General features: G+C 44.6%; 1 protein-coding gene and 1 long non-coding RNA gene across 11 annotated transcripts in view, besides 7 other annotated features; one reads left to right on the plus strand and one right to left on the minus strand.

Moving 5' to 3' along the window:
* PACSIN2 (protein kinase C and casein kinase substrate in neurons 2) overlaps positions 1–21,761 on the minus strand; it is a 145,384-nt gene that overhangs the window by 67,041 nt on the left and 56,582 nt on the right. The window contains exon 1 of one of the 10 annotated variants that reach the window (NM_007229.3): positions 10,091–10,235. The exons of the other annotated variants lie outside the window; for them this stretch is intronic. The gene's annotated coding sequence lies outside the window, so the exon portion shown is untranslated. Of the gene's footprint in view, positions 1–10,090; positions 10,236–21,761 lie in introns of those variants that run through there. 10 annotated transcript variants of the gene reach the window in all.
* LOC124905128 (uncharacterized) lies at positions 900–3,183 on the plus strand. The gene is made up of 2 exons (XR_007068119.1): positions 900–2,052; positions 2,156–3,183. It is a non-coding gene; the product is annotated as an uncharacterized LOC124905128 (long non-coding RNA).
* Positions 2,584–3,084: an enhancer, noted in NCBI's record as "H3K27ac hESC enhancer chr22:43335396-43335896 (GRCh37/hg19 assembly coordinates)". NCBI's record gives its function as "activates a minimal SCP1, AML or CMV promoter by ChIP-STARR-seq in naive H9 embryonic stem cells {active_cell/tissue: H9 hESC(naive)}" and the evidence as "EXISTENCE:reporter gene assay evidence [ECO:0000049][PMID:30033119]".
* Positions 3,417–3,711: an enhancer, noted in NCBI's record as "tiled region #5708; HepG2 Activating DNase unmatched - State 5:Enh". NCBI's record gives its function as "activates a minimal TATA promoter and a strong SV40 promoter by Sharpr-MPRA in HepG2 cells {active_cell/tissue: HepG2}" and the evidence as "EXISTENCE:reporter gene assay evidence [ECO:0000049][PMID:27701403]".
* Positions 5,105–5,331: a silencer, noted in NCBI's record as "fragment chr22:43337917-43338143 (GRCh37/hg19 assembly coordinates)". NCBI's record gives its function as "represses an EF-1alpha promoter that drives an FKBP-Casp9 reporter gene in an ReSE screen in K562 erythroleukemia cells {active_cell/tissue: K562}" and the evidence as "EXISTENCE:reporter gene assay evidence [ECO:0000049][PMID:32094911]".
* Positions 8,291–8,370: a silencer, noted in NCBI's record as "silent region_13846". NCBI's record gives its function as "represses an Ori minimal core promoter by ATAC-STARR-seq in GM12878 lymphoblastoid cells {active_cell/tissue: GM12878}" and the evidence as "EXISTENCE:reporter gene assay evidence [ECO:0000049][PMID:35858748]".
* Positions 9,861–10,753: an enhancer, noted in NCBI's record as "H3K27ac-H3K4me1 hESC enhancer chr22:43342673-43343565 (GRCh37/hg19 assembly coordinates)". NCBI's record gives its function as "activates a minimal SCP1, AML or CMV promoter by ChIP-STARR-seq in primed H9 embryonic stem cells {active_cell/tissue: H9 hESC(primed)}" and the evidence as "EXISTENCE:reporter gene assay evidence [ECO:0000049][PMID:30033119]".
* Positions 10,754–11,645: an enhancer, noted in NCBI's record as "H3K27ac-H3K4me1 hESC enhancer chr22:43343566-43344457 (GRCh37/hg19 assembly coordinates)". NCBI's record gives its function as "activates a minimal SCP1, AML or CMV promoter by ChIP-STARR-seq in primed H9 embryonic stem cells {active_cell/tissue: H9 hESC(primed)}" and the evidence as "EXISTENCE:reporter gene assay evidence [ECO:0000049][PMID:30033119]".
* Positions 15,313–15,814: an enhancer, noted in NCBI's record as "H3K4me1 hESC enhancer chr22:43348125-43348626 (GRCh37/hg19 assembly coordinates)". NCBI's record gives its function as "activates a minimal SCP1, AML or CMV promoter by ChIP-STARR-seq in naive H9 embryonic stem cells {active_cell/tissue: H9 hESC(naive)}" and the evidence as "EXISTENCE:reporter gene assay evidence [ECO:0000049][PMID:30033119]".

Raw genomic sequence — 21,761 nt, forward strand, 5'->3', positions numbered from 1 at the left:
AGGCTGAGGCAAGAGAATCACCTGAACCCGCGAGACGGAGGTTGCAGTGAGCCGAGATCATGCCATAGCACTCCAGCCTGGGCAACACAGCAAGACTCTGCCTCAAAAAAAGGGGGGGGGGCAGGGGCAGTAAATTAAATTAGCAAATACCTATTTACACCCATTGCGAATGCATTAGTAATCTACCCACCAATGCCTACTTTCCATTCTTTCAACACCTGTATATTGGGTGCCTGTGCAGCCACACGGTGTTCTGAATGCTGGGAATCTAACAGCGGAGAGAACAGACCAAAACTCCTGCCCTCATGGGTCTGTGTTCTGGCACAGGTGACTGACCCAGCAGGTGCTATGCAGAGAAATAAGCGAGGATGAGATAGGGAGGAGACAGAAAGGAGACTGCTTCTAAACAGAGTGACCAGAGAAGGTCCCCAAAGAAGGTGACACCTGAGACAACATGGGAAGAAGTAAGCCATATGGGCCCCCAGAGCACAGGCAGCCCCAGCAAAAGGCAAGAGAGGCCCACCTGGCATGTCTGAGGCACAGAAAGACAGGTGTGGCAGCAGTTCCTGGTGAGATGGCTGTGGGTGAGCCCAGGCAGGCGGCAGTAGAAATAACGATGCATGAGCTTAAACGGGCACCGAAGACAAAACAAAATGACCTCTTTGTTCAACTTCTAGCCCCACCACCAAAGTCCACCTCTGAGCCCCTGCCTAGATGTCCCGGCTCGATCACCAAGGTTGTGTGCAGTGACTACCACACACTGAATCTCCACACGGCCTCATTCTCAAGGAGCCCTGTGCAAGCAGTCAGGCATGTGAGTCAGCATACGAGGTGCTTTCACTTACCACACCCCTTGCCTGGCCACAAATCCTGCACTTCCCCTAACTCGGCTCTCCCTCAGACTCAACCAAGGCCCCACTGTGGGTGAGGAGCAGGGACACTGGCTCCCAGCCCTTTCCATGGCACCCATGCAGCTCCGAGAACAGCAAAGTCCAGCATCCCTAGGGGGTCACACGATCTGAAGACCAGTCACACAGACATGGAGCCCCGCAGGGGGACCCTTCTCCTGGCTCGAGCAGTCTGGACCCCCATCTCCAGAAGGCTTCAATCTCCCACTGGAGAACTCTGGAATGACAGCGGTAGAAGTCTCACCTGCGCCTGCCTGGTTGATTTTTCCCAGCTAACTTGCTCCCTGCCCTCTACCCACAGTTGTACAGAGTAAAACAAAATCATCATGTTAAATACTAGATTCTAGATGACAGCCCTAAAAACGACTGCCATTTAAGTCGAGCAAAATTTAAAATCTTTTTGAAACAAACCAAGCAATCACTTGAGGTAAGTTTGGGGAAGGTCTTTTGAAATCAATCACTCTCTCCACTGGAGATCCAGTTTCCAAGTTGTTTCCTGGGCTCGCGAAGCAGCAGAAGGTATGAATAGAGAATGCTAGGCAGTGAATTCCTAAAACCCGAGGATGAAAACACACACGGTTCTGAAGATCCCACAGAAAGATATGCCAATTAATCTTATTCTTAAAATTGGCCTGAAGAAGAAAGGGAAGCCCCTGATGCAGAAACTGCATAAGGAATCCTCCCCTCTGGAACACACAGGAGGCGTCAGAAAGAAGCCTGACCTTCTCCCTTTCCCATGACCTTAGAGGAAAGGAAGGTCAGTCACAGCAGCAGTGGCTCAGAAGCAGGTAGGGAATCTTTTTCTATGGGAAGAGCTCACCAGGTGTGTGCTGTGTGCCAAGGACCACAGCAAGCAGAGGCTGTCCAAACATGAAGAATGCCTCTGCACAGGCCAACTGCATGTTCCGCAGGACCATTTAGGTTGCACCATCTCCCTCTCGACAGCCTGGCACAGTGGCATTCCGGTGTGTGCTACCCGTGCCTGGCTGGTGAAGAGCCTTTCTCCCACTCCACCTGGAGCTCCACGAGGGAAGGGCTTCACCCTTTTTATCTAACCCAAAGCAAGTGCTCAAGTAACAAGAGAAGACGACAAGGGAAGGGAAGAGAGGAGGTGCTGTTTGTGCTGGATCCCGAGGTGGAGAAGGTAAAAATGCTGTCTGTGACAAATTTGTATTTTTTAAAAATCCTATATGCAGATTCATATAGTAACCCTTAAAATAACCATGTTTTCCCCAACATCTTTATAGGTCAAAGGAAACAAGCTGATGACCAGCCATCCTGGTGGCATTCAGACCGCTTGCTCCAGCTGACAACCACCTGGGCTATCAGAATCAGCAGCAAAGGTAGGACAGGCCCCAAGGTCACCCGTCCCAGCGCAGCCCATCAGCTCTTAGCTCACCTATGCAACTTAATGAAGAGCTGGAGCTAACAGCGTGTAATTAGATGTGTCCCCAAAACTCGTTTATCTTATGCAATGGGAACACATCAGCTGACAGATCCAGACTTGCCTTGGACTGATTTTTACAGCAATATTTTTTTAGCCTCTGGTTGGCAAGCACCCTGGGAATGTGGAGATGGAGGCTGAACACTTCCCCAACCTAAATACTCAGTTGATGTTCCAGAGGTTTAAAACAGAAAAACTTACTTTAAAAAGGACAAAAATGACACTTTTTCAAATTTGATATTAACATGAGAATTCAAACAGTAGTGTAAGAAGATGTACAAGAGTCTAAAGATTTGAAAGAAGAATGATTGGAAGTGACGCAGTTAGAGCAGGCCTAACTGAACCAGAACGATGCAACTCCACAGCTCCTCCCCTCCCCATTCCAGTGGAGCCAACCCCACAGAGGGAATGGGAAGCACTCCCACAGGGCAACGTTTTTAACAGAAATATATAACAACTTTTGCTTTCAAAGTTGGGTGGGACTAGAACACACAATGGAAGGATGGAGTCAGGAGACCTGGATTCTTGTGCCCGCTCTGGCTTTTACAGTCTGCCTAACTCTATGCAGTCACTTCCTGCCAGCCTGTTTCCTTACCTACAAGAGGGAGAGACACTCCCTGGCCAGCCTAGTTCTCAGGGTGAACGAAAGGTCATTATCACTGCATCCTCTAGTCATTTGCTTCTTCGCTAATTAACACATCTTGAGCACCTGCGATGTTCCAGGAACAGGAGATGGCAGCGTGCAAGATAAAGTCCCTGACTTCTAGAGACTGCATGTTAGTGGCAATCGGCGTCTACCCGGCCTTCAATAAACTACTGAATGAAGGAAAATTCTACCTAGCACCAGACACAATTACTGGGTTTCTAAAATGGAATTATTCCCCCGGCCCCCTGCATCCAGCAGCCTGCTGCAGGGAAGCTCCTCCGAAGGCTGTAGGCAGGAGCGGGACAATGCTTGCTATCAGCTCCACAGATGTTACCTAGTACTATTCCTACACAGCGCCTTACAGAACAAACAGTAAAACCAAGTGGAAAGCATGCACGGGCTTAAAAACTCAAACTCCTTAACTACTCAGTAATTAGGATGTCATTTTACACCAAAAATAGATTTTTCTATTTTATACAATAGAAGGAAAGAAATGTAGTGCAGAGTGAGTCATTAGATCGTGACCTTATACTGTCTTCATCTCTGAATCTCAGACGCTGTGCAAAGCAGGGGGTCAGCATGTGTTTGCTGAATGAGTAACACTGTTCCTGTCAACAGGAATACGGATTACACCAGGTAGCTCTCAAACTTCCTCCTCAATCCACTCCTCCTTTTACATTCATGGAAAGGGAGGGGGAAAGAAGCCCAGTCTCCAAGGTCAGCCAGTTACACCAGAAGCAGTGCCACCAGAATATGAGCCCCGCCCTGGGACAGGGCACAGAGCCCTCACTAGCATGCTGGAGAGGGGCCACCCCAGGTCCTGGGTTTCCCTATACCCAGCTGCTTCTCTTCAAGCTGGTGAAGCCCCTGCCACCGCCACCACCTCCTCCCCTACCTTGGGACTTTGTGTTTAATCCCGGAAGTCACAATTTAGGAGGCTCAAAAAGAATAAAATTCTGGGTATACAAATGGAAAAGACCCAAATGTGTCTGTCAAGAATAGCCAAAGGGATGGGATTATTTAGCCAGGAGAGGCTGTGGGAGGGATGATGGGTGAAGTACTTGAGATTCTTGCTATTTTTCTAACAGTTTTATTAAGATAATAATTCACACAGTTCACCCATCTAAAATGTACACAATGATTTTTAGTGTGTTCACAGAGTTGTGCCACATCATGACAATCATTTTAGAACATTTTCATCACCCCAAAAAGAAACCCCACACCCTTCCCCAGTCATCCCCCACCTCCTCTACTCCCAATCCTGGCAATCACTAATCTACTTTCTGTCTCTATGGATTTGCCTATGCTGGACATTTCAGATAAATGGGATCATAACATGTGGCTCTGGTGATTGGCTTCCTTCACTTTTTCCAGAATGTCTTCAAGGTTCAAGGTTCGTCCACGTTGCAGCATGTGTATTTCACTCCTTTTTGTTGCTAAGTAATATTCCACTGTATGAATATACCACAATTTGTTTGCCCATTACCAAGTGACTGGACATTTGGGTTGTTTGCCACTTTTCCGCTATTAATAGTGCTGCTATTACCATTTGTGTACAAGCCTTTGTATGGACAGATGTTTTCATTTCTTTTGAGTAGATACCTAGGAGTAGAACTGCTGGGTCATAATGAGAAACTTCCAAAGTCAGGAGTTTCCAACATTCAGCCAGAGTGCTTTCCAAAGCAGGTGCATCATTTGACATTCCCACCAGCAGTGTGTGACAGTTCCAATTTCCCATATCCTCACCAACACATGTTGTCTTTTTTATTGTAACCATCTTAGTGGGTGGGAAGTGATATCTCATTGTGATTTTGATTCGTGTTTCCCTAATGACTAGTGATATTGGGTATCTTTTCATGTGCTTATTGGCCATTTGTATACTATCTTTGAAGAAACGTCGGTTTAGATCCTTTGCTCATTTTTTAAACTGGTGTGTCTTCTTATTGCTGAGTTTGGGGTTTTTGTTTTGTTTTGTTTTGTTTGAGACAGAGTCTCACTCTGTCACTCTGTCACCCAGGCTGGAGTGCAGTGGCGCATTCTCGGCTCACTGCAACCTCTGACTCCTGGGTTCAAGCGATTCTCCTGCCTCAGCCTCCTGAGTAGCTGGGATTACAGGCATGGGCCAACACGCCCAGCTAATTTTTGTATTTTTAGTAGAGACAGGGTTTCACCATGTTGGCCAGGCTGGTCTCGAACTCTTGACCTCAGGTGATCTGCCCGCCTCTGCCTCCCAAAGTGCTGGGATTACAGGAGTGAGCCACTGTGTCCGGCCTTTATTATTGAATTTTAAGAGTTCTTTTTTTTTTTTTTTTTTAATTCTTTCAATTTTTTTGGTAGAGACAGGGTCTCATGTTGCTCAGGCTGGTCTCAAACTCTTGGCCTCAAGTGATCCTCCAAAGTAATGGGATTACAGATGTGAGCCAATGCACCCACCCAAGAGTTCTTTATGTATTCAAGGTATCTTTATCAGATATATGATTTGAAACTATTTTCTTCCATTCTGAGTTGTCTTTTTACTTTCTTGATAACATCCTCTGAAGCACAAAAGTTCTTAATTTTTATGAAGTTCAATTTACCCACTTTTTTCTTTTGTTGATTGTTTTGGTGTCATATCTAGGAAAACACTGCCTAATCCAAGGTGACAAAGACTTATGCTATGTTTTAAGAGTTTTACATCACTTATTATGACTAATTTTTTTAAACGTTTTTTTAATTAAAAAAGCTTTACAGATTTAGCTCTTACATTTAGGTCTCTGATCCATCTGGAGTTAAGTTTTATATGTGGCATGAGGCAGAGATCCAAATTCATGCTTCTGCAAGCAGATATCCAGTTGTCCCAGCGTCACTTGTTGAAAAGATTTTTCTTTCCCCCATTGAACTGGCTTAGCATCCTTGTCCAAAGTCAACTGACCATAAATGTAGGGGTTTAGTTTTGTTTTCTTGACTCTATCTCATTTTTCCATGTCTATCCTTATGCCCGCACCACACTGTTTCTTGAATACTGTAGATTTATACATTTTTGTAAATTGGGAAGTGTGAGCCCTCCAACTTTGTTCTCTGACTTTTCAAAACTGTTCTGACTATTCTTGGTCCCTTGCATTTCCACAGGGATTTTAGAATTGGCTTGTTGCTTTGGGATTTTGAAAGGGACTGCTGTGACTCTGTAGCTCAATTTGAGGAGTACTGCCATCTGAACTATGTGAAGTCTTCCAGTCCATGGATGTAGGATCTCTTTCCATTTATTCAGGTCCTTTTAAATTTATTTCAACAATGTTTTGTAATTTTCAGAATATAAGTCTTACACTTCTCTTCATAAATTTACTCCTATTTTATTCTTTATATACTATAATAAATGAAACTGTTTTCTTAATTCCATTTTTTGAATTATTCCTTGCTAGATTATAGAAATATCGTTATTTTTGTATATTGATCTTATATCCTACAACCTTGCTGAACCTGTATATTAATTCTAAGAGTTTTTTTGGTGATTCCTTATGATTTTCTTTATATAAGATCATGCCATCTTTGAACAGAGAGTGTTTTACCTTTTCCTTTCCAATCTGTATGCCTTTTGTTTTCTTGTCTAACTTCGAAGTTCCTGGTTAGACTCTCCAGTACAATATTGAGCAGAAGGAGTGAGAACAGACATCAAGGTCCTATTCTTCTGGATTGTAGGAAGAAAGCTTTTAGTCTTTCACTGCCAGCCCTGGAAGTTTTGATTAATACCCTTTATCCAGTCAAGTTCCCTTCTGTTCCTGGTTTGCTGAGTGTTTCTGTCATGAAGAGGTGTTGCTTGGGGTTGGGTGTTTTTTCTTTCTTTTGTTTTGTTTTAATGTTGCAGAACAGGCATCACCAAGGACCTAATTAACTTAGATTAAAACCACCTGACATTATATATTTTGATGAATTTCAAGTGTCATAAGGAGCCAAATAAAATCCATTTTAAGCAACTCAAAGAAAAGCAGCTTATTCTCTGGCTTTGAGAAAAGAAATTTGTGATAATAAGGTATCAGAGGAAAACATGAATGTGTCCAAAACTTACGTTAAACTTTTGCACAATACAATATAGAAAGCAAAGAAAGAAAAAGACACAATTGATAAAAATCTTATTACCTAAAATACATTAAGAGCTGATATGAAGACAGAGGATCCAATTCCACTGGACAAAGAAGTTGCTGGAGAGGAACAAACAGAAGAGGAGATGGCTGGGCAGAGACAGGAATGCTCACTAAGTTCTACCTGCTAAGCCAGACTGTGTTGGTAGTCCTGGCCACATCAGTAGTGAAAAGTCCACACAAAGCCCCCAGCCTCTCCTGTCTACTGTGTTGTCCACTGAGCAGGCCTCGAGTGGCAGCTCTCAGAGAGTGCTGTCTCCTTAATCAGCCTGGCCTGAGGGACTCTGTGGAACCGCACCCCCAGCCATCCTACAAGGGACACACAGATCAAGCGAGAAAGACATTTGTGTTAGGCTAAGTCTCTGAGACTTGGGGTTTGCTTGTTACTGCAATGTAACCTAGCTAAATATAATACAACAAATTCCCATGCAGGAAAAAAAAGCACAACTTCCTTTAAAATATGGAAATAACTTGTAAAATAAGGAAAATTAATATGACAATGCCAGTTTTGGTGGGGCTACAGGAAAACAGAAATGTACTCTAACATTGCTAATAGGCTTCATGGAAAAATCTGAAAATACAGAACAAGGCAGATAACAGTTACCAACCTCTGACCCTTAAGTCCCACTCTGGGGAACATGCCCCAAGCAAATAAACTCAAAGAAAAAATAGCTTGGACAAAATGTTCATCACTGCAATATTTATAACAGCAAAAATTGGAAACGAGTCAGCTGCTCAAAGCTAAGAAAACAATGACGAGTTGACAGAAAGGACACAACACATCCGTTACAGAGAACTAGCAGGTGAGCTATTTTCCATCCGAAATTGGGTATAAGCAAAAAAGGCAGAGTGGCACAGCGCATCCACTACACATCAACTTATAAGGTGAGGACTGTAGCTGGGCGCGGTGGCTCACGCCTATAATCTCAGCACTTTGGGAGGCCAAGATGGGTGGATCACCTGAGGTCAGGAGTTCAAGACCAGCCGGGCCAACACAGTGAAACCCTATGTCTACTAAAAATACAAAAATTAGCCAGGTGTGGTGGTACGCCCCTGTAGTTTCAGCTACTCAGGAGGCTGAGGCAGGAGAATCACTTGAACCTGGGAGGCAGAGGTTGCGGTGAGCCAAGATCATACCACTGTACTCTAGCCTGGACGACAGGGCAAGACTCGTCTCAAAAAAAAAAAAAAAGAGGCAAGGGCTGTGTCATCTCCGTATCCCCAGTGCTTAGCATGAGGTAGATGCTCAAATGAGTCTGCACAGTGACTAGATGTACGCACCGGCAATTACCAAGCTGACAGAAGCAAAATCAGTGGGGGACGAGGGCAAGAGGAGTCTTTGGGGAGGGAGCTGACACTCACCAGCTCATTTCTGTAGTGGCTGCAGTGTGCCTTCTCTCAACCTCCTCTGCCTGTTTCCTGGCTGCTGGCGCTCCCCAGGTTCTGTCCCAGGCCCTCTCTCTTACGTCTTCTGTGCCCACACACCAAACCACCTTTAACCTCAAGCCCCCTGATCTGCTGTCTGGCCCAGACCCGCATCTCTGCCTACTGGATGCCTCCACTTGGCCATCACACAGTCCTTGCAAACTATCCCCTTCCCTATGAGCCCACTCCTGTTCCTGGGTTTTCTACGTCAGAAATGGTCCCACCATTCATTCACCCAGCTTCTCAAGCCAGAAACTCCTCTTCTTCCCACACCCAACCCCCCTCACCACTACCACATTCAATCAGCTTCCAAGACCGGACTACATCAGCTCTTCAATATCTCTTGAATCCTCCCACTTGGCTCTGTCCCCATGATGATAGCTACCTTCGCTAAGGCCACCATTGCCTCCTGCCTAATCCTTAACAACGTCCTAACTAACCTGCAGCCACTTGTTTAGTCCCCGACTCCCTTCATTCTCCATGACATTACTGTGACTCTACCATGGTGGTTGGAATGTCTTCTGGAAAGATCAGGTTTTGCCTCTACTCAAACTCCTCCCCCTACTTCCTCCCGAAGCCAGCAGGGCCTCCAGGCTGTAACTACTGCTCCTCCAGCCTCACCACTCACACCACACTCCTGGCCACACTATACACGCTCTGGCCACCGTTAATCACCTGTGTCTACCAACACAAGCACCACACTCCTATCAGCTCCACCCCTTCACACACACTGTTCCCTCTGAACAAATGCACAAATGAATTAGAGGAGGTGGAGGAGAAATCAACTTCTCATAGCCAAATAGTTTCAAAAGCAAAATAATAAGAATCCTTCCAATTACTTTTATAACATAAAGAAGTGTTTAAACTGCATGTGAGCATAACATACCTAATATAATCCAGGGTAGGGTCTCCAGAAGTATGGGTACCCCAAACCTGCCACAGTCTAAGGGGGAAGTAAGGACAAAGCTAATAAAGCCAAAGGATTTGTCCCTGGGGGCAGGAGTGGAAGCACTCACTGACTGCCACTGCATCCAGGAAGGAGGCACACATTGGCCTCTGAGCCTGGCGAGAGCAGCAATGTACCACGGGCTCACCCACTACTTGGGAGGCTGAGGCACAAGAATCACTTGAACCCAGGTGATGGAGGTTGCAGTGAGATCGCACCACTGCACTCCAGCCTGGGGGAAAGAGCAAAACTCTGTCTCAAAAAACAAAAAGAACAAGTGCTCACTGATTTGCCACCATGTCCCCACAGCAAGAAGCCCCAGTTACACAACACACAAAGCTGCCTGCCCAGGACTGATGCAGTGTTATTCCAACATAATCTTAGGATCCCTTCACACAGGCATGCGCACACACATGATCCTCTCTCGTCCAGCTGGGGATCAGGACTTCAGAGCACATGAGGACGCGTCAGCTCATCTCTGCCACCACTTCCCTCGCTTCTGGTGTCCTCACATCCTAACCACAGTATTTAACAACTGACAGATGGCCACAAATACAGGAGACATGTGGACCATGTTGCAGGGAGCTGGGCCGTGGGTCCGGGTACCTGCGCTTCCCCTCTGATGCCTGAAATTCTCTGTGCGGCTCCATTCCCCTTCGTGCCAGTCTTCAGGATCATGCCAGAGCAGCCACGGCCACATACTTCCCGACGACGCCTCCTCTCCGTCAGAGGCACCTGCCCAGTGGGACAGCTCTCCCTTAAGCTGCAAGTTTTCCAACTCAAGAGACGCACTTAAACCCTAAAAAAGAAAACTCACACAGGCCCAGATGAGACAGAAAGATTCTCCTGGCATAAATAGAAGGAAAAAATATAGAATGGGTCAGGAGGCTGCCCTTTGTTCAGGTCAGAAAATAGGGGCATTCACAGGCGGCAGAGTGAGCAGGAAGGAGGGAGAAGAGGAATGCTCCAGGCCACCTTCGAGGTCTGCTGTGCCAGGTTCCCAAGACAGACAAAGAGTATTATTGACAACATGCATGAGTCAGAGTGGCCCCAGGTCAACGCTTCAGCTTCTTTCAACCCCTCCACTTTCAGGCAGCCCCTTCTAGAAGCAGGACTTCCTGTCACACAAAGGGCCTCTGTGGCCCTTTGTCCACAAAAGAGGAGCGGCCTCTTCCCATGCTTGGAGGCAGCCGTTTCAGAGGCTCTTCCCTACCCAACAGTCTGATGAGTGGAATCCTCAAGAGGAGCTGAAGCCCTGGTCTGAACAAGCTGAATATGAGAGACAGCAAGAGGGGACAACACCAAAGAACACGCTAGCCTGGATGCACAAATCTAGAAGGTCTCTGAAATCTGCATCTATGAGTCTTCACAAGACCCCTGGGGGTGGGGGGGGGGACCTCTTAATGATCCAGCTGCCTCAGGCAAAATACCTAAGAGCTCTGCGCCTGACACTGCTCATGGGTAAAATAGAATCCAATCTGCCTGACAGGTTGCACGGATCAAATGGCATCCGGCTGGGACCTGGCACAGTGCCTGGAGTATGGGGACCTTCCACAAGCATTGGCCAGGGAGAAGGTGACTGGGGCCAGGCTCCACGGCAGCCCAGCTCCTGAGCCCGTAAGCCAGGTGCCCCCACACTGGGGCACTCCATTCTCACAGGGTCGATGGACACTTGAACAACCTCCTCCAACACAGCGGCCAAGAGCTAGGAAACAGTTCTGCACAACATGCTACGGGGACACATAGAGGGTCCAGAAAGGGTGCCCAGGGCTGATGTTTCAGTGGGAATTCTTCAGCAGGAGCAGCAAGGAAAGGCATCCCAGGTAGAGGAACCTGTGTGACAAAGGGGAGTTAGAAACCAGCCCAGTGCAGGGTCCCGCTGGTCCTGGAGGGCAAACCCTGGGAAGCTGCTGTGGCTGTGAAGGAGGGGAGAGGGGACTGACAAATGGCAGGGCGCTGAAGATCAGACACCAGCTCAAGTCACTAGTTACTCCACCACAAGAGTGACTTCTGCTCCATTTACCTACCAGCAATAAAAAGTAGAATGTCCTGATAAAAGCCCACCATAAGAATGCTAGGTAAGCATGGACAAGAAGAGGTCACACCCATCAGAAGCGCTATCTAGAAGTGAACTACCTAAATACCTTCTCAACCAGTACTATAAATATGTGCCTTTGAAGTTTAAAAAGCCACACGAGCTGGGTGTGGTGGCACATGACTATCTATAGTCCCAGATACTTGGGAAGCTGAGGCAGGAAGATCACTTGAGCCCAAGAGTTTGAGGCTGCAGTGAGCTATGATAGTGCCTGTGAGTAGCCACTGTACTCCAGCCTGGGCAACACAGTGAGATCCCATCTCTAAAAAAAAATTTTAAGTACAAACCATGAGAGGATTTGGTTTTCAAATATTTTCTGGGCATCTATGCACTCAACTATGGTGCCGCTTTCTCAAGAAAATATTCTATTTCATTCAAAGGTATCAGCTAGAGCCAAAGCACTCTACTGTAGAGAAGAATATGGAGCCAGTTTCGTGTGACAAACTGATAAATGAATTCTAACTTGACAGTGCTTTTATTTCTAAAAAAAGTTCACATAAAATGAACTAGCCAGTAATTTGGAAAAACAAACAGGGAACTCAATTGTCAGGCAACAATCTGAAACTAATAGGCTTAAATCAAGCATAAAATTAATAGCAAAAGTTTCCCTTAAACAAGGGGAGTGGGTCAGGCATAGTGGCTCACGCCTGTAATCCCAGCACTTTGGGAGGTGGAGGTGGAAGGATTGCTTGAGCCCAGGAGTTACAAACCAGCCTGAGCAACAAGGTGGGATCCTGTCTCTATAAGGACAAAACATTTCTTAAATAATAGGTGCACATTTTAACTTCTAAGCTACCTTCTTACCAGCAAAATGGGAATAAAGGTGGCTGACCTACACAGAGTAGGAATTTAAATGACACATTGTATGTGAGTGCCTGAAAATGTCAGTCTCCAGCCTTCCCAGCCTTCTTGCTCCTAGTATGACTCCTCCTGGCCTCTCTGGCAACTCCCACCCCACACAGGGAGGATATGGCTTTGGCAAGCAGGACTTACACACCCATTCTCAGCTGTGCCACTGAGAACTCTAGAAACACAAAACAAAGACCTTCAACGTTAAGCCTCATACACACACGCGCGCGCACGCACACACACACACATTTTGTGATGCTAGCTGCCTAATAAACATTTCCAGTGACCACTTATAAAGGGGAAAAATTAATGACAATTCTTATTTATGATAAAATGCCGAATTACAATATACAATAATATTATCTGAGAAGCCCTGAAGAAAATGTCTTGGTTACTCTCTTGACTTCATTACAATACCCAATACCCCCACTACACACACACATACACTCACACACACACACTCACACACACTCTCTCACACACACACACACAGGCAGAAAGAACCTGTCCTTCATAAAAATTTGTCAGTTTGGCTGTCTCAAGACATAGCCTGTGTCCCAAATTCTTAAATATTTTCAATAAAATGTTTAATTTATTCTAATAAACTGAGTAAATATCAAGCCAAGGAAATTGATTTTACAAATTATTTTACATCTATCTCTCCCAATATTCTAAAAACATTTACTTTCTGAGTGCCAGAAACCTTGCTAAGAGCTAGGGGATGGAAATGAAAACAAGTGAATAACACCATGCAGGCCCTGCGGTCCAGGAGCTCACAGCACACTCAGCCCTTCATACCCAAGGGTTCCACATCTGTGGATTCAACCAGTCAGGAATCGAAAATATACGGGGGAAAGAAGTGGGTAGCTGCATCTGTACTAAACATGTACAGACTTTTTTTGCTTGTCATTATTCCCTAAACAATACGGTATAACTATTTACATTGTATTTATATTCTATTAGGTATTATAAGTAATCTAGAGATGATTTAAAGAATACTGAAGAGTATACATAAGTTATATGCAAATACAACACTATTTTATATCAGAGACGAGCATCCATGGATTTTGGTATCCTTTGGAGGGTCCTGGAACAATCCTCCAAGATACAAAGGAACAAATTGTCTAAATACTAGGAAAGATAAGACAAAGTCATACCAGATTAGGCTGAGAGGGAGGGAGGGAAGGGAGTGGGCAGGTGGGCAGGCACAGCATTTTGGTTGAGGAAAGAAGGCCTGCAGCTGCACAGCCTCCTAGGAGACAGCATGAGGTGGACTGACGATTCACGCTGCTGTCCAGGCACAGGCTCAGGAAGGGCTCTGAAGGCCTGTGCAGCCACCATTGCTGAAACTGACTGAAAACAGCAGCCCCAGCCAACTAGTGCAAAGTTAGCTTACAGTAACATTCAACGCCATAAGTAGCATTCTTACGTCTAAAAAGCTGAACACTTGGGCTTTATCTAAAAATATATGTTTAAGAGTGGGTAATTACCTAGAAAAAAAGTCCAGATGGCTATGTACCAAAAATGTGAATTCTTCCATTCAATGAAATGTAATGCAGCCTTACTTACCGTATGCCAGGCACCTCGCTGGGCCTGTGGGGTCCCGGGATGGGTAGAAGTGACAAGGCCCCTGTATATATTCCAGTAGGGGTCAGGGGATTTCAAAGCCACACCAGTAGGTAATGTAGCGGCAGACAGCATTAAGGGCTGGGGGAAAGCATGAAGCCAAGTGGGGGACAGAGAGTGACAGGGTCTACCTGGACATATGGTGGTCAGGGAAGGTTGTCCTGAGTCTTGAATGAACATCTCTGGGTGGTGGAACATGAAAGTCTGGGCTTTTGCATATCTGTATCACTTAATTGTTCTGCCATAAGAATACACTGATTGAGTTGCTTTTGAAAATTCAAAAGGAAGATAAGGCAGCACGTGGGCACCTTCCCTTTAGGTAAGCATGAAATCCAAGCTTTTCTGGTAAAGGAATCCACGAGCCTTATCTTCTAGTCACGATAACCGGCCTGCAGTATTAACTGCATTCTCTCTAGACAAGTAATTCCGGACAGTCCTGCAAAGCACCCAATTGGTGCCCTTATCACCCTGTGCACACCCGTGGTGCCCAGGGCTCAGCCTCCTCTTCTCTGTGCACACTAGTTTCCTGGGTGACCCTCTCCCTCCTGTGACCTAAAATTCCATCCACGTGCTGATGCCTCCTCACTCAGCCTCTCCCTGAGCTCCAGATCCGGCATGGCCCGAGCTGCTGGCTCAGCATCTCCCCCTGGGAGGCTCACGGGCCTCTCCGACACACTGGCCAAAACCCACCTCTTGCTCCTGCATCCCCCGGTTGGGCTCCTCCAGGACACAGCTGCTCAGGACAAATGCCCCAGTGTCATCCCTGACTCCTCTCCTCCTCTCATGTCCACATAACATCACCTCTACCTCAAAACAGAGCCAGAATGTGGCCGCTTCACACCACCTCTGTCTCAGTTACCCTGGTTCAATCTACTAAACTCAAATCTTGCCAACAGCTATTGTCAACTGTCACAGTTATTGATACTCCCCACCCTGATTACAAGGTCCCATGTGATTCTAGCCCCTGCTTCCAGCGCCAGTCTCGCTCCTTCCAATCCCCACACCCTGGACTCTGGCTACAGTGACCTCCATGTGGTTCTCCAGATGCACCAGACTCGGCTTACCTTTGCACCTGCCTCCCCTCTGCCGGGAATACCTGCCTCCCACATCTGTAGGATCTGCTGCCTCCCAGCATCAGATATTTGCTCAAACATTACCCTCTTCTTAAGAAAGCCTTCCCCCAGCCCTGATACTCCAGCCCTAACTCTGTTTTATTTTCTTAACACTCAACCTCACCTGCCAAATTATCTTTTCTCTCTCCACTCACGAGAATGTAGGTTCCTTATGCACCAGGATTTTGCCTTGTTTGCCCGTGTTCCTACCACTGATACGTAACAGGCACATAATAAACACAACTAGAATGAATGAGTCAAGGAATGACAGAGCATAATTCTGTTTTCAGCAGCACAGCAAACCAGGTATCTTAATGACTCTCCTGTTGAAGAAATTTATTTATTTATTTATTATTTTATTTTATTTATTTATTTTTTATTTTTAAGTTTATCTTTTTTTTGAGACAGAGTCTCATTCTGTCACCCAGGCTGGAGTGCAGTGGCATGATCTTGGCTCACTGCAGCAGCCTCTGCCTCCTTGGTTCAAGCGATTCTCCTGCCTCAGCCTCCTGATTAGCTGGGACTTTAGGCGCGCACCACCACGCCTGGCTAATTTGTTTTGTATTTTTAGTAGAGACGGGTTTTCACATTGGCCAGGATGGTCTCAGTCTCCTGACCTCGTGATCCGCCCACCTTGGCCTCCCAAAGTGCTGGGATTATAGACGTTGAGCCACCACACCCGGCCTATTTATTTATTTTTTTTTTTTTGAGATGGAGTCTCGCTCTGTCGCCCCGGCTGGAGTGCAGTGGAGCGATCTCGGCTCACTACAATCTCTGCCTCCCAGGTTCAAGCAATTCTCCTGCCTCAGCCTCCCGAGTAGCTGGGATTACAGGTGTGTGCCACCAGGCCCAGCTAATTTTTGTGTGTTTTTTAGTAGAGACGGGGTTTCTCCATATTGGACAGGCTGGTCTTGAACTCCTGACCTCAAGTGATCCACTGGCCTCGGCCTCCCACAGTGTTGGGATTACAGGCGTGAACCACCATGCCCAGCCCTTAAAGGATATACTTTTAAAAGAAGGAAATTATTTCAGATGGAAAGCCCTGAAGCACAAGAAGGAATGGTAAGCAAATATGCAGATAAATATATTGGATAAATCTAAATAGCATTAGCTGTATAAAAGACAATGGCAAATTTGCAGGATTTAAAAAAATCAGAAAAAAAAAACTGGACAAGTTGAGAGGGCATATGGAGTTAAAATGTTTTCTATCCTTCCATTGTTCAAGAGAAGGGTAAAGATATCACTTAAGATTTTGTTAAGTACACAAAAATATCTAGGATAACCACTAAAGGAGCAGGCTGAGAATTTAATTTCTAAACTAAGAGTGAAAAAAAAATGCAATGGAAAATGGGCATGATGAAATGCAATCAAAACAAAAGAGAGAATAAAAATCTCACCAGAAGAACTACAGCCAATAGAAATTACAGGAATAAAAAATTACATGTCTATGCAAATTGCATTGAAGGGCCTAGCCACTGCAATAAGAAAAATAACTAAAAGGTGTAACAATCAGAAAAGAAGAAACGTAACAGCATTATTAGCATTAACAAACCATTAAATGGTTTTAGCATGGCTGATGAACAGAGGAAGGGAATTTATCTAGAATGAGAGCTCTCAGCTACAATTTGAGAGCTATATATTTAAATGCAGTGCTAAGGGTTTCATTTAACACGAGGAAAAAACCATTGTCTTCATTTTATAGCTGAAGAAACTAAAACTCCGAGAGGTTAAGTAATGTGTTCAAAGCCACCTGGCAAGTAACCGGCTAGTTTTGAAATTAAGACAATCTGTCCCCAAGGCTTAACCACTATACTATGATGTCTCGACACACGATAAACATATATGTGCCCTCTCAGAGGCAAGCGTGATTGTGTGATTACAAGGACACTGGAGGAAAAAAGAGACGAAATTCACCTAAGGAAAGCCAGGGAAGAGAGGAATGCTTAGAGCAAGAATGGTATTCTGGAGAGAATAAGAACAGCAAGTACAAAGGTTAAAAGGCATGAGGCTGGGTGCGGTGGCTCATGCCTGTAATCCTAGCACTTTGGGAGGCTGAGGCAGGCAGATCACTTGAGGTCAGGAGTTCGAAACCAGCCTAGCCAACATAGTGAAACCCTGTCTCTACCAAAAAACTCAAAAAATTAGCCAGGCATGGTGACATGTGCCTATAGTCCCAGCTACTTGGGAGGCTGAGGCAAGAGAATCACTTGAACCTGGGAGGCGGAGGTTGCAGTGAGCCGAGATCATGCCACTGCACTCCAGCCTAGGCGACTGGGCAAGACCCTATCTTGAAAGCAAAAAGCACATAAAGGAAGGTTCCCTTGGACAGAGAGTGGAGAACAGCCCATTGAGCCTCTAGTCTTGGGCTGTCCAGTATGGCAGCCACCAGCTATTAACACTTAAAAAGTAGTTAGTCCAAGTGAGAAACTGACTTTTTTTTTTGAGACAGGGTGTCCCTCTGTCATTCAGGCTGAGTGCAGTGGCACTATCACAGCTCATTGCAGCCTCAACCTCCTGGGTGTAAGCGATCCTCCCACTTGAGCCTTCTGAAGCTTGGACTACAAGTATGTGCCACTGCACCTGGCTAATTTTTTATTTTTTATAGAGACAGAGGACTCACTATGTTGTCCAGACTGGTCTCAATGACTTTTTAATTTTAGTCAATTTTAATGTAAACAGTCACGTGGTTAGTGGCTACCACACTGGACATCGCAGTTCTGGAGGTTCAAGTCTGGAGAAAGGGAAATGGTTAGAAGACCAGGAAAGAGGAATATATCCAAGAGGAAAAACAGACAGGACATAGTGATGGATGATGCCAGGGAATGGGGGATGGGGGCAGGGATTCAAAGTCTCAAATTTCGGAGGCATGGTAGGTGATAATGCCACAAAGAGAAAAATAGAATTAAGAACAAACTGGTTTGGATCTGATAAATATGATGTTCCTGAAGCATGTCCACATATAAACGGCACTCCAGCCACAACAAGCTCCTAAGTCTGGCAGATTCTGACCTCCTTGCCTTTGCATATATTGCTCCCGCTGCTTCTCTTGGGTACCTGACAAACCACTCCCTCTAAAACTCATCATCAAACTGGAGTTTCCCCCCAATCTCCTCCATTCTTCATGGCAGAATAAGGTCCCAATAGCTCTTTAAGACTCACCACCCTGCTGCTTAGAAGTCTCTTTACCTTACTGGACTGTGAGGTCCTCAGAGACCAGAACTCAATCCTAACCGTCTATGGATCCCTAGAGTCTAGCACAGTGCCTGATGTGAACTGCGTGGACAAGAGACCAAGAAGGTAAACTGAATGAATGAATGAATGAATGAACAAACAAACGAACGAACGAACGAAAAAACAAATCAACTGATCCAGCCAGCCAGCATCCAGGTGAACTGTCCCTCCAGGCAGTGATCTAACGGATGGCTGGAAATAAGCCCAGAGCTCACTCAGGTGCCTGCATGTCTACCAATAAAAGCTGTCATACCTGGAGATAGCATCAGGGGGAAAAAAAAAAAGGCTGTCAGGTGCTGGGACAAGTACAGTTTACATAGCCTCACATCATGACTTTTCATCATCATGACAACTTCCACCATCCCAAATGCAAACTCTTCAACCTCAGAAGTTCACTGGGTACACCTAAGATTCAATTTAATGTCTTCGAGTTCAATGTGAAGTATGAAAGATTTATCCACCAAAAGTGGTCTTGCCACTTTCCTTCATGGCTTTACAGTCTTGCTTTCTAACATTCTTCCTGCACAGTAATGGTAGGATCTGACTAAGTGAACCTGAGGTGACCGTCCCTATAGATGGGAAAGTAGTAACAAATGTTTCTGTCTTCCAAATCAATAGATACTGGTGATCAGTCTACTACGCCCTGTGCTATTTTTTCTTCATGTGTCAGTTCATAGCAGAGAAGATAGAGAAGTCATTTCATTATCCCCAAAACTGTCATGTGCTTCATTTATTTTGTTAAACTAGCACTACCAATCTATGTTAGGAATTTAAGAGTCAAAGAGAGAGTTCCAAATTGGGAAGTTCAACATTTTGTCCTGTTAATTACATCAACATTTCGTCAAGTAAGCATTTTCCAGCAAAATCATTCTTCCTTGTTCTCCTTCAAGGACTCCACTGTAGAACAAATCCTGATGGGAAACATGACTGAGTATGAAATTCATAGCACCCTTCACATTAACAAAAAGATAATCTAAATGCCATACTATTGTGATGACCACTGGCACACATTTCAAATTAATTCTAACTTCCTATTAGATTCTTTAAGTTTCTCAAAATAAAATATGTACCATGAGCCCACATAAAGATTTATGTCTTATGATTCATATATGACAGAGTCTAATAAGAAAAAACTTAGGCCAGAGCCCCAGGGCTGGAGGAGACGTCAGGTAGACACAACCTGTTACTTGGTGTCAAGGCAGAACTGTGACATGCAAATGCATTTAGACCACCTAGTGAAATGTGACTATAGTGCCTTCAAAAGTAATCACTATGGAAAAGCAAACAATGTCATTCATTCATTCATTCATTCAAATCAATAACCCTTGTCTAATTACTATCTCACCATACTGACACACACATACATGCTCCTCTTTACCAAACTCTAAGGGCCTAGGATACTGGGGGATGTTTCTTCATAGTCTTAGAGAAGGTTCTGAGGCCACTTCTAGAATCTGGTCTGGAGAGCTGCCCTGGACAGAGGTGGACATGAAAAAGGCCCAAACACCAACAACACAAACTCTGAGATTTCTAAGCCAACAGCAGCCCCAGGGGGCTGCCGTTTAACCCCTTCTCAGTTTGGAGCAATGCCAGCACTGCAACAGTCTGGTATCTCTTTCTCATCTTTAAATCTCACAAGCACAGCAACATTTATACTAATGTGGGCAGAAGCTAGAGGCCAGGGAGGGAAGCATATCAAATGTTACTTATAGACTGCAGAAGATAAGAAGGTCAATTATACACTAAGAAAAGGAAGCCGATTGGAATATTCTATACTTAATATATAGTGAAAATATAATAGTAAGTATAAAATGCTAATTGGGGAACAAAGGTAACTAAATTATGGGAGAAGCGAACTAAGCCACTGCGGCTCCTGAGCCTGCAGCCCCACTTCTTCTCTAGGATAATGTCGCCTGGCTCACCAAATGAAAGCAGCACCTCTTTAAGGAGACTGACAGAAAGTGCCCACTAGAACACCAGGAGGGAAGACAGTTCTGACACACTGCATAAAAATATTGCTTATGTATTCCACTTCATTCTTCAGTTTCATAAATTAAAATAGTTGTAAAGTTATTAAATTCAACTTCAAATACAATTAACATATTTATGAAAGTGCCAGTTTTCCTGAAGTGCTTTTGTTTCAGAAATTCTTCAAGGCATATATTCTAAATACTTTAGAAAATACAAATAAGCGCTATCCTGTGAACCTCCCCAAGGTATTTTAAGGTGACTTTGGACAGACAGTGATGGCCACACCGAGGTCTAGGAACAGTCACCCACTGTTCTCAGCATACCTGTTTATAACTAACTCCCACACCTGAATTTCAGAGGATTCAAACTGAATTTTTAGCAGAGACCATTTTTAATGATTCTGGAAAATTGTGAGTAAATTCCATTTTTATAAATTAAATCGTTTTCTCCTTTATTTATATTATGTTGTATTATTTTAAAGTCTTTCATATTCCAATACCTCTTCAGTTCAGCTCAAGACAGAGTCAGTATTCCCTTATAGGGGCTGAAAGGCAGAAATGCTAAAGGTTTGGGGTTTCCCTTTCACACCCTGAAGAATCCTGTTTCAAAGAAGAATTGAGTGCTTGTCTGTTTCTTGTATTAGTTGTGATTGTATTAAGTTTGGCATTCTCATCTGGCAAGCAATCCCATCGTGAGGCCCGCTTCTATCAGTAACAATTGACTGTCTCTCCCCTGAGCTAGGGGAGAGGCAAGCAAAACTTTATAATATAGAGAATTGTTGATTTTTAAGAAATGTCAATGCTCTTTGTACTTGAGGTAATTCACTATACATCTATGCAAATGGTACTTACAGCAAAAAAGTTATTGAATAAAAGCTGAGTGTTTGAAAGTGAAACAAATATGAACGGACTCATCAGTAGAAAAAAAAAACACTCTTAGCTAAGTGATATTCATCTTAAGATAATAATGCGAAGAAAGCAGATTACTGTAATGGAAAGAGTAATGAGTCTCATGACCAGGGTTTCAGACTCACTCGGCTACCAACGAGACGAGTGACCTTGGACAAGTCGTCACCTCTGGATCCCAATTCCTTTGGTAAAGTGAGGATCCTGGAATATTAAGTCCAAGAGCCATTACAGCTCTAAATATTGCGTTCCCACCTTCTGCATTATGCCACCAAATGAATAACAGAATTGTGTGGGTGGGCAAACGGGTCTCAAAGGACTAACACTGTTTAAAAAGAAAAAAGGAAGGCGTATTTTTACTTATTGGCATAAATCTCATACCTGTAAAAATGCTTTGGTTTGAAGTTATGAAACCTCTTTGCTGTTTTCATAAATACAGCATTTAAAATTCATGCAGAATTCAGTAGGATGTTTTACTGACAAGAAGG

The sequence above is a fragment of the Homo sapiens genome, chromosome 22 (assembly GCF_000001405.40).
Source record: "Homo sapiens chromosome 22, GRCh38.p14 Primary Assembly".
NCBI lineage: Eukaryota > Metazoa > Chordata > Mammalia > Primates > Hominidae > Homo > Homo sapiens.